Consider the following 12395-nt stretch of genomic DNA (forward strand, 5'->3'; position numbering starts at 1 on the left):
CACAGCAAGACTCCATCTCAAAAAAAAAAAGTAAAAAAAAATTAGAGTGTGAGAAGTCCAGAGGGAGGCTACCCTTTGAGGAGAAGGGAAGAGGTACTGATTGGGGACATGAGGAAGCTTCTAGGATGCTATGTGTGTTCTATTTTTTTGACTTGGATAGTAGTTACATGAATGGTCACTTTGTGATAATCTGTCAAGCTTATGATTTATACATTTTTCTCCACGAGTGTCATACTTTTTTTTTTTAAATAGAGACAAGATCTTGCTAAGATGCCCAGGCTAGTGCAAACTCCTGAGCTCAAGAGATCCTCCCATCTCAGTTTCCCAAAGTGCTGGAATTACAGACGTGAGCCACTGTACCTGGCCTTAAAATGTGTTTTAATGTTTATTTTATTATGACAATAAATATAACAATTTGTCAAAATCTGTGGAATACAGAGCAATAAAGGTAAAAGTATAACTTAAATTTACCAGCAAACAAAGGGGTAAATATAAAGGAGCCAAGCATTCCAACTCAAGAAGTTGAGAAAAGAGCTAGAGAAGAAACCCAAGGACCAATTTAAAAAAAAACAGCTGGGGGCGGTGGCTCACACCTGTAATCCCCGAACACTTTGGGAGATCAAGGCAGGAAAATTACTTGAGCCCAGCAGCTTGAGGGTGCAGTGAGCTATGAGCACACCACCGCACTCCAGTCTGGGTAACAAAGCAAGACCCTGTCTCAAAACCTAAATAAAATAAAAATAAAGATAAACAATAAAGAGCAGATATTAATGGTTTCACTGCAGCATTATTTGTAGTGGTAATGGTGTTGGAGGCAACGCAGGTAGCCATTACCGGAAAAAGAAACAGGTAAAATGTGGAAGATGTACATTAGAAGTGGGTCATGGGGTAAAAGTAAAGGAAATCAATTTTAAAAATGGGTAGGTAGATAGATAAGTACAGTAGTTCTCTCAGGCTCTGAGATTCTATGTTCTAGTTTCATCTGTTTGTTTTGTTTTGTTTTGTTTTTTGGTATGGAGTCTTGCTCTGTCGCCCAGGCTGGAGTGCAGTGGCACAATCTCGGCTCACTGCAATCTCTGTCTCCCGGGTTCAAGTGATTCTCCTGCCTCAGCCTCCCAAGTAGCTGAGATTACAGGTATGTGCCACCATCCCCAGCTAATTTTTAGTAGAGACGGGGTTTCACCATGTTGGCCAGTCTGGTCTCAAACTCCTGACCTCAGGTGATCCACCCACCTCAACCTCCCAAAGTGTTGGGATTACAGGCGTGAGCCACTGCACCCGGCCCCAGTTTCATCTTTTTTAATCGTTTCCCTAACTTTGCATTTCCATTTGCTGATATAATTTTTTGTAAACATTCTGCTGGCTCACATGTATCTTCGAGGTTTCAGATTCTAATTAGATGTTAAGCCTGTATTTTAAATGTGTTATTTCAGAGATTCTTTTATGACACATATTTGGATATGTACTTGCAACTGCATTGCTTAAGCATGTTGTAAAACTTTTACATAATTCTTGGAAGTCATTACATTTAATTTTAACTGTTAGGTTATATCTATCATATAAAACCTAGCTAGCAATTTCTTATTGATAATAACTACTGGGTGGGTCCAGGTTTCTGACTTCCTTAAGAGTAGAACAGAATGTTGTCTCTTGCTTATGAAAAAAAAATAGTAATGGTAGACAGAAAATGTTCTTGAGAACACCTTTTAGAGATCTTTTCATCTTCATTCACGTGATATGGAGGAAAGAGAGGTTCTGAGGCATCCGATACTCAACATGAATTATTTCAGCAAAAAGAAAAAGCAAAGTCACAAATGTAGGACCCTATCCAAAAACTAAAAGAAGCTATAAGGACACTTTACCTACAGAGGATATAAAGGTAAAGATTAACTCAAAGGAGGGGCTTTTGATAACAAACTGGCCTAAAGACCCAAACTTAAGTGCTAAGTTAGAATTATAATCTTTTAAAGGTTGCTAGTCATTGGAAATTATTTAAATGAAAGTACCACTCAAAATATGGGGATAAGAACAAAGTTTTATCAAGCTGTGATTGTAATGATTAAAAATAAGCGAGAAAGTTAAGTGTCTCTTAATTGTTGATAACAGTTATGTACTTGGGAGTTTTATGCTTGCTTTGTTTTATTGTTTAATAATTATAAATGTACACATAAGATGAATGAAAAAAATCTTATATGTGCTAAGTCTCAGATCCTAGATGAACTATGAGACTGTGTGAATCAACTTATCTCCTATGAGCTGAGCTCAGCATACCTACATTTCACATTAATTTCCTTTGAATGGTGAATCTTTGGCTTTTTAGTTATGTGACAGCACAGAACTAGCAAGAGATAAGACATGTCTATGAAACCCACTCACCAGGAAGGACATTCAGCTCTAAAGACAAGAGAGAGTTCAGTTAGTGAAGATGAGATCACCCCCACTCGTAACTGTCTCACCTGAAGCAGCTCCAGGGTGGGAGCCTGGCTCTTCTCCCCCACCTCTAAGATGAGCTTCTTCAATGAAGCGATAGTTTGATTGAGTTTTAACGTGTTCTCATTCAGCTTCTTCTTCGTCTCTTCTTCTTCTTTGTTCAATCTCTGAAGAAACAGGTCCTCTTCTTCAACCAGGAAGTTGTGCAGCTTTGAAAACTCCGTGCTGATTCTCATTCGCTGACTCTTTATCTTATCCTAAGGCCACATGAGATTTGCTCACTCCTTTTTCTGCCTGACCCCAGCTACTAAATTCCTTACACAATTCCCCAGTAATCCACAGTCAATCCTAATCAAACCCTCTTGAAAAGCTCCTGCCCACCCCCACTAAAATTTCCATTACTCCTTTATTTATACCTACTTGATAGCTCTGTCTAGTCATTATAGTATTCATTCATTCTTCCTAACATTTCAGTCTCTACTACTGACAAGTTTTAAACTAAAACAAACTTTCACATCTACTACTTAGTTTAGCCTTCAGAACTCGTTTAGTTTTACCAAATCTTTAGGAGTGTGAGGGTGTGTGTGTGTGTGTGTGTGTGTGCGTGTGTGTGTGCATCCATTCATCTGTTTCTTTCCACAATGCCATGGGCCCAAACCGACTCTAACCTAGGGAGTATATTTAGGAAAAAGTAGGAAGGAGAGGGGTGCTACCTTAAAGTAGAGACATGGGGATGAAGTATGCGGAACTCATTATCACCCAAAGCCACTAGCAGCAGGGACAGGTACTTCCTCTCCTATCCCCGTATCTACAAGGGGCCTGACAACTGAACTGACACCCAGAAAGCTCTTCTTTCAGTCACATGATATGGAGGAAACAGAGGTTCTGAGGCATCCAAGACTCTACGTGAACTGCAAAACCCCATGACCAAAAGGACCTCAGAAGCAAGAAATGTCCCAGACCAAAAGGACCTCAGGAGCAAGAAATATCCAACCACTTCTGCCATTACCTTCCACTGTGTGGCGTTCTTCACTTCTACATCCTGTAAATGCATGACTTTCTTCATCTTGGCCACGAGATTACGCTGAGACTTAAGAAGTTTCTCCTGCCAGCAGAAACACACACAGGTAAGAAAACACATCTCCAACCATCATCATCTTCTTTTTTCTTTTTGTTTTTTTTTTTTTTTTTTTTTGAGACAAAGTCTCACTTTGTCACCCAGGTTAGACTGCAGCGGCCTGATCATGGCTCACTACAGCCTCAGCATCCCAAGCTCAAGTGATCCTCCCACCTCAGCCTCCCAAGTAGCTGGACTACAGGCATGCTCCGTCAGGTCCAACTAATTTTTTTATGTTTCGTAGAGACAAAGTCTCCCTATGTTGCCCAGGCTGGTCTTGAACTCCTGGGCTCAACAGATCCTCCCACCTCAGCCTCCCAAAGTGCTGGGATTACAGCCATGAGCCACCACGCCTGGCAACTTCATTTTTTAAGAGCTAAAAGTCACCTAATCAAAACAGAGAATGAGATTGAAAAAATGCTGAAGACGGTCACAGGCCTATGATAAGAACTATTCTGGTCTGAAATCATCACAACACTATATTGAGTTTTCCTGGTAAGTTAGCAAAAACTAAAAACTGTTAGAAGATTAGCAAATATCTACTACTGGCAGAGAGAAGGCCTCTGGCACCACAGGAGATTAAAAACGTGCCTTTTTTTGATGGACAACTGGCAGGATTTAACAAAATTTTAAATGGGTATAATGCTACTTCTAATAATCTATGCAACAAAACACTAGCAAAAATAACCAATATGTAAAGAAATGGTCACTATAGCATTATTCATTATCCACTAATTAGGAATTATTAAATAAATTATGTTATATTGATACTTTGCATCAATTTCAGGTAGCTGTCTATATATTGACATGAAATACACAATAAGTTGAAAGCAAGCCATAAGACAATATGTATTGTACAATTCTGTTTTGAAAAGAATAAACGTGTCTATGCGCATACGTGTTTATCTATGTGTGTGTATTTGTATGTGAAAGCAAGGGAAATCTGGAAGGATGTATACCCAAGTATTAACATTGGTGACTTCCAAGGAAAAAGAATGGCTTACGAATTTGGAGGTGGGGTACTAGAAATTTTATGCATTTTTGCTTTAATTTCTACAAGTGGCATATGCCATTTTTGTAATTTAAAAACCCGAGTAAGTTATTAAAAAATAAAGCAAGTCAATCAACATTGACAAATTGGGCTGAGGGGCAGCACCCGATAGTAGGATGTCAGCTGCGAGTGCAGAGATGGAAGCAGAAATGTTAGAGAAACACACAAGAGAAAAACCCACAGGAACTGATGATCAAATGGCTGCAGGAGGAAAGGGTCCAGATTTAGCCCCTCAGTTGTGGTTTAAGTAACTGGATGGACTGCAGGTTATTTATCAAATTAGAAAATATAGGAAGAAGAGCAGTGTGTAAATGGGAGGAAGGAAAATAAATTTCACCTAAATAAATTGAGTCTGAGATGCCTGTGGGACATCCAAGTGGATATGTTAGCAATTAGAGTTGGGAAGGAGATCTATGCTGCAGAAGCAGATTTCGGGATTAAAGCACAGGTGGCAGTTGGAGCCTTGGGTGAGCGTAAAATCACCCAGTAAGATTCTATAGAGTAAGAGGATCAAGGCTAGAACTGGCAACAACTACATTTAAGCAGTATGTAGAAAATAAAAATCCTGCAAAGAAGCTAAGGTGAGCAGTTGGTGAAAAACCAAGAGAGAATGGTTTCTCCTATGCCAAAGGAAGAGACCATTTAAATTACAAAACTAGTGAATAGTGTCAAATGCTGGAGGGTGGCCTGGGCAACTTTCTGTAAGTCTCACTATATGTCAAAATAAACAAAAAATTAAAAAAATTAAAAATAAATTTAAAAAACTAAAAGAAAAGAAATGATTAGAACTAAAAAATAATCTGTACAACTTTTTAAATTCTTCCCCAGAAAACTAACAATTACTAATAGGTATAACTTTTCATCCAATCATTTACAAGTGACAATGGTTAAAATCAAGTTAAATAACTGACAAGGTTGATAACATCAAAGTTGGCAAGGGTATGGAGCAACTGGAACTCTTACACAACATTAGCAGGCGAATGAAATGCTACCACCATTTTGGAAGAAGGTTCAGTGTAAAACTAAACATACATTAATCCTAGGGTACAGCAATTCTACTCCTAGACCCTGGAAAAATGAAAACATGTACCCATAAATAGACCTGTACAAGAATATTCATCGCAGCTTTATTCACAATAGCTAGAAGCTGGAAACAGTCCAGGTATTCATTGATAGGAAGGTGGATAAATAATGGCAAAAACCGCAATTACATTTGCACCAACCTATACAAAAATGGATAAATCTCAAAATCAATATGCTGAGCAAAAGGATCCATACAGACAATGGAATTCCATTTATATGAAGTTCTGGAACAGGCAAAACCTAATTTGTGTTTGAAAAAAAATCAGAACGGTGGTTGCCCTGGTAGGGGAAGGGTGCAGAGAATAACTGGGAAAGGGCATGAAAGAATTCTCTGGATGGTAATATCCTTTATCTTGAGAAGGGCATTTGTCAAAGCTCAGCAAATGTACAACTAAGATTTGTGTTTTTCATGGTATTAAATTTTACCTCAAAAAATACCATAGGCCAGGCACGGTGGCTCACGCCTGTAACCCCAGCATTTTGGGAGGCCAAGGCAGGTGGACAGCTTGAGGCCAAGAGTTCGAGACCAGCCTGGGCAACATGGTGAAACCCTGTCTCTACTAAAATACAAAAGAAATAGCCAGGTGTGGTGGCACAAGCCTGTAATCCAGCTACTTGGGAGGCTGAGGCATGAGAATCGCTTGAACCCAGAGGCAAAGGTTTCAGTGAGCCGAGATCACACCACTGCACTCCAGCCTGGGTAACAGAATGAGACTCTACATATTAAAAAAAAAAAATAATACCATAAACAAATGTTAAATCTGGTTAATGATATACATGCTGAAGTATTTTGTTTGCAATTGAATTTTAAAAGCATCAAAAGGAAATAAGAATTGATGTATTCAGAGAGATACAGACAAATGGACAGCTATGTGATAAAAGAGTCAAATGTTAATGGTAGAATCTACATGTGGGTACACTGGTGTTACTACAAAATTCTTCCAACTTTGATGTATGCTTGAAATTTTCATGGTAAAATGAAATAGGAAAACAAAATTAAATTATAAAAGGGATTCATACAGTTCTGTTAAATGGCACAATACCATCTGTGCTATTCTGTTTCTACCATGATGTTTCCTAACATTATATCATCTATTTACTATCTCTAGTAGTTAACTTTAATAGGCATGTAACCCTGCTACTCTCTCATGTAATTTCACTTTATTCAATTATAACTGCCGCTTTGTGGTCACTGTCAAATTTGATGTATATGAGGTTTGTAATGAGATATATATTAGTTCCTTCAAATAGGACCAAGTTTTTGAAAGTTTTCACTTTGCTTGATAATGAAAAATATAATAATCTACTAAATAGAGATTTTCTATGTCTTAAAAAGCCTTAACAAGTCAGTATGCATGAATTCTCTCATATGGTTCTACTACTCAAGACTCTACCCAAGTTTTTTTCAATCTGGCCACAGTTGGAATCTAAACTGGGAGGTGAGTTAACTTGACAGCCTTGGTGGAAGTTAGAAAACACTTTCCCTGCAACAACAGAAACTGCCAGGAGGTGGCAGGAGCGCAACACCAAGCATTTCAATCTGGGTTAGAAATACCAGAAATTTTAAAAATCACTCTCTCAGCTAGGTGCGGTGGCTCACGCCTGTAATCCCAGCACTTTGGGAGGCCAAGGCGGGCAGATTACGAGGTCAGGAGTTCCAGAGCAGCCTGACCAACATGGTGAAACCCCGTCTTTACTAAAAATACAAAAAAAAATTAGCCGGGCATGGTGGCACACGCCTGTAATCCCAGCTACTCAGGAAGCTGAGGCAGGAAAATCGCTTGAACCCGGGAGGTGGAGGTTGCAGTGAGCTGGGATCGCGCCACTGCACTCCAGCCTGGGCAACACAGTGAGACTCCATCTCAAATAAATAAATAAATAAATAAATAAAAATAATAATTTTTTTAAAAATCACTTTCTCTTAATTTAGCACCAGAAAATTATACGTATATGAAAACACAAGTGTAATAAAAGAGCATACTTTTATAGAATGAAGACATTTACTGACTTGTGATCATGTAGCTCAAACAACATTAAACTTCCAAAGATCTTAGTTTCACTCTAGACCTTCAAACCAGCTGTGCATCTGTGAGCAAGTCAGCCTTGCTTATTTCCTGGATCAAGGCTTCCTTAACTATAAAATGAAGACAACTGGACCAAATGTCTCTTAAATACCATCCCAGCTCTTGAGTTCTATGAATTTCAGTCACTGTAACTTCTGCAATTGATCCAAGCTGGTAGGTGTACTTTGGAAATATACCTCAAATCTACCTACATGCCAAACCCCACTGCCACCGCTAGTTGAAGCCACCATCATCTTTTGTCTGACAACTACAATAACCTCCCGACTGCCCTCCCTACTTACAGTCATGTCCTTCTCTCATACAATATCCACAACGCAGCCACAGTGGCACGATCATAGCTCACTGCAGCCTCGAACTCCTGAGTGCAAGTGATCCTCTAGTCTCGGCCTCCCGAATAGCTGGGACTACAGATGTGCATCACTACATCCAGCTAATTTTTGTATTTTTTGTAGAGATGGGATCTCACAGTTGCCTAGGCTGGTCTTGAACTCCCGGACTCAAGCAATCCTCCTGCCTCAGCCTCCCAAAGTGCCAGGATTATAGGCATAAGCCACCACACCTGGCCTTGGAATAACTTTTCTAAAAACTAATCAGATATTGTCACTCTCCTGCTCAAGATTCTTCACTGGCTTTCCTCTTCACCAAGAAAATCTGAACACTTCATTGTGGCCCAACATAAGCTGACCGCTGCCTACATCTCGTTTCACATCGCATGCCACCTTTCCCCTTGCTCTTGGTCCTCCAGGTGCAGAGACCTTCTTCCTACCCCATAAACATATCCAGCTCTCCCCCGCCTCAGGGCCTCTTCCCACAGTTCCTCAGATGGCAGACTCTGCATCCAGCAAGTTTCAGCTGCAATGTCACCTCCTAAGAGAAGACTGCTCCCTTCTCTGGCATAGCACTTTTTCTTTTTTTCTTTTTTTCTTTTTTTTTTCTTGAGACGGAGTCTTGCTCTGTCACCCAGGCTGAAGTGCAGTGACATGATCTCGGCTCACTGCAACCTCCGCCTCCCGGATTCAAGCAATTCTCCTGCCTCAGCCTCCCAACTAGCTGGGATTACAGGTGCCCACCGCCGCACCTAGCTGATTTTTGTATTTTTAGTAAAGACAGGGTTTCACCATGTTGGCCAGGCTGGTCTCAAACTCCTGACCTCAAGGGATCCTCGCGTCTCAGCCTCCCAAAGTGCTGGGATTACAGGCGTGAGCCACTGCGCCTGGCCTAGGATAGCACTTTCTTTTTCTTTCCCAGCATGCCATCACCATCTGTGATTATTTCATTTATTTGTCTGTCTGCTATCTACCTCCCACCCTCAGCCCAACTGGACTGTGAGCTCCATGGAAAGCCTTTACCTGTCTTGTTCACCACTGGATTCCCAGTGCTGCATCTGGTGCCGTGCCACAGCATCTGACACAAAGCCAGTGCTCAATAAACATCTTAAATTAATTAACAGAATGGAGGGATTAGCTCCTAGAGTCAGGCATGAAGGAAAAAAGAGCTGCACTTGGAGGCCTTTTCCATGCAAACAATTTGCATCCGGAGATTTATGAAGCTATTTCTCTTTCTCTTTTCTCTTTTTCTCCCCTCACCATAACGGGTATAGGATGGGGATATTTTCCATGGATTTAGGGAACTTCCAGCTATCCAACTTTTAAAACACAGTCCATCCATCTGAGTATATGCTGAGAATGGGATGCTTGGAAATAAAGCAGCTTCACCCAGGGGCAGTTTATGTTTTTCTAACTAACTTGGGGTGGGGATGGAATGAAAGGTGGTTGAATAGGGCAGTGACTAAGCAGAGGAGGATGGAGAGATGGGCGGATATCAGGGAATTCCGCCCAGTGACCTGGCTCCTGAACACCTACGAAGTCAACCTTGTGACATTCAGCCCATCCCAGTGTAACCCTTACCCATCCACTCCTGTCCTGTTGGGCCATTGTGTTTAATCCTGAAATCCCACCTCTTCTAAGAAGTCTTCTCAGATTAGTTGTGGCAGAGTGAAAAGTGTAAAGGATTAGGGGTTAGAAGACCTCAGTTCAAGCATAGCCACTTCCTAGTTCTGTGACCTCGGGGGCATGTAACCTCACATCTCTGTGGCACAGTTGCCTCATCTTCAAAAAGGGAATAACAGAATCCACCTAATAGGATGTCTATGAAGATTAAAGAATTACAGTATGAAAAATGCTTAGAACTGTGGGTGGTACGTAAGAAGTAATGAACAACTGATAGCTATTACTGCTGAAGATGGAAGATTTAAGGGCTATGTTCCCCTTTCATACCCATCCACTTATATTTCCCTCGGCCCCCACCCACAAGTGTATTTTCCCTTCCATTTATCTGATGGGTCCTCTCCATGTCTTTTGCTGGCTACCAACCATTGGTGTTTCCCAAGCTTCTCTTTGTGCCTTTTTTTACTCTCTATGTGGTCCTCCTAGGAGAATCTCATCTTCTTACTTCTTCCATGACTTCAAGAACAGGCTGAGGATTCTAAAATATTATCTCTAGCCTCCAAGGCACCCCACCTCCTGTCCCTCTTCCTTGGACTTCCTGTCACAATTACTTCACACTCAGTACATTCCACAAGCATGGGATCTTCTGTCCTAAGACTACGCTTCCTCCTGTGTACCTTACCTCAGTTAACCTGACAGTCATCTACCTGCCATCTGAAGCAGAAATCTGAACTACCATCCAAGACTCCTCTCTCTCTCACCCACCAAGTCTAATTGATCACCAAGTCATTCAACTCCAGCTCATTATCACTCCATCCCTCCCTCTCCATCATCCCTGCCCTGAACTAATTCAGGTCTTTATTACCTCCTGCTTAAAATGGTACAAGAGCAGCCTAATTAGTCTTCTCTTCCATTCATCCACGTGGATGTCAAAGTTACCTGTCTAAAACAAAAAAAACGATCATATCATTCCCTGCCTTAAAACCCTTTTATAACTCCCCACTGCCTGAAAGAGAAAGTTCAATCTTTTTACTATGGCAAACAAGATCCTTCATGATAAGGCCCTGCCTTTTTCTTCAAGCTCATGGCCCACCATCCTCCTTCCCATGCTCCATGCTCCAGAAGTACTGAGCAACCTCCAGTCCTCTCACACACCACATGCTATCCCACTCCACCACATTTGGAATATGCTGTTCCTTTGGCCTGAAATACCTTCTTTCCTACCTCTACTCACCCTTGAAGAGCTAACACATTTAACTCCTCAACGGAGCCTTTCCTCACTCCTCAGTGATCACTCCGACCTCAGACCTTCTGTACACTTGGTAAATACTTCAGCTACTCTCACACACACTGAAATTAATGTTGTACACGCTTAAGTTCCTTACAAGACAAAGCCCATGTCTTTCTCATCCACTTATGTCCAGATTCTAAAACAATGTTTGGCAAATAGTAAGCATCAATAAACGTTACTGAGTGAAGGAATGAACATACACTTTCTAGTCCAGCTTTGTGTCTGTTTCCTGTTCATAGTCAGCTGGTACAACTGTACAGTATTTTACAGTTTCCAAACATTTTCACTGTGTCATTAAATTCATGTGTTTGGCCAGGAAAGCTTGCTCACGCCTGTAATCCCAGCACTTTGGGAGGCCAAGGTGGGTGGATCACCTGAGGTCAGGAGTTCGAGACCAGCCTGACCAACATAGTGAAACCCTGTCTTCACTAAAAATACAAAATTAGCTGGGCATGCTGGCAGGTGCCTGTAATCCCAGCTACTCGGTAAGCTGAGGCAGGAGAATCACTTGAACCCGGGAGGTGGAGGTTGCAGTGAGTTGAGATCTCACCACTGCATTCCAGCCTGGGCAACAAGAGCGAAACTCCATCTCAAAAACAATAATAATAAAATAAATAAATAAATTCATGTGTTCATGTACTTACTGCATATCAATTCTGCTGGAGACCACTGGAGTTACACCATCAGTAATGGGAGGGGGTGGGGCTACTCTGGAAAGGATGATCAGGGAAGGTCTTCAAGCTAAAAGCTAAAAGGATCTAAAGGATAGATGTGGGTAGAGAAAGAGAACAGACTTGAAACAAAAGCAAGAAAGCCAGTATGGCTGAAGCAGAGTAAGGTAAAGTGATTTATTCAACCGGAGCTTCTTAACCCATGAGATAGGACAGATAATCCCCAAATTCAAATGTTACAGGATTTTCCCAACTGATGAAGGAAGCTAGTAACAAAACCCAGCCTCATCATTACAAGCTAGGCTTTTCCCAAATCATCAGCTGTCTATGACATTTACAGATACAGACAGGCACTGTCCAATACAGTATCCATTTAGCCATACAAGCACCTGAAACGTGGATATTCCAAACTGCTATGTGTTGTAAATGTAAAATACACACCAATTTCAGACCTATTATGAAAAAGGAGTATAAAATATCTCATTGAGGCCGGGCGTGGTGACTCACACCTTAATCCCAGCACTATGGGAGGCCAAGCGGGGCAGATCACTTGAGGTCAGCAGTTCGAGACCAGCCTGGCCAAGATGGTGAAACCCCTCTATACTAAAAAACAAAAATTAACCGGGTGTGGTGGCGTGTGCCTGTAATCCCAGCTACTCGGGAGGCTGAGGCAGGAGAACTGCTTGAACCCCGGAGGAGGAGGTTGCAGTGAGCCAAGATCA

General features: G+C 41.2%; 1 protein-coding gene across 2 annotated transcripts in view; it reads right to left on the reverse strand.

The window, feature by feature from the left end:
- The window catches only part of TRIM4 (tripartite motif containing 4), a 29128-nt gene that overhangs the window by 15723 nt on the left and 1010 nt on the right, over positions 1-12395 (reverse strand). Inside the window, exons 2-4 of one of the 2 annotated variants that reach the window (NM_033017.4) lie at positions 10577-10654; positions 3440-3535; positions 2457-2687 (exon numbers count right to left, since the gene is read on the reverse strand). In NM_033017.4, coding sequence (NP_148977.2) covers positions 2457-2687; positions 3440-3535; positions 10577-10654 — 405 coding nt within the window. The remainder of the gene's footprint in view (positions 1-2456; positions 2688-3439; positions 3536-10576; positions 10655-12395) is intronic. The other variant, NM_033091.3, reaches the window with a different exon arrangement.

This window comes from Homo sapiens, chromosome 7, assembly GCF_000001405.40.
Source record: "Homo sapiens chromosome 7, GRCh38.p14 Primary Assembly".
NCBI lineage: Eukaryota > Metazoa > Chordata > Mammalia > Primates > Hominidae > Homo > Homo sapiens.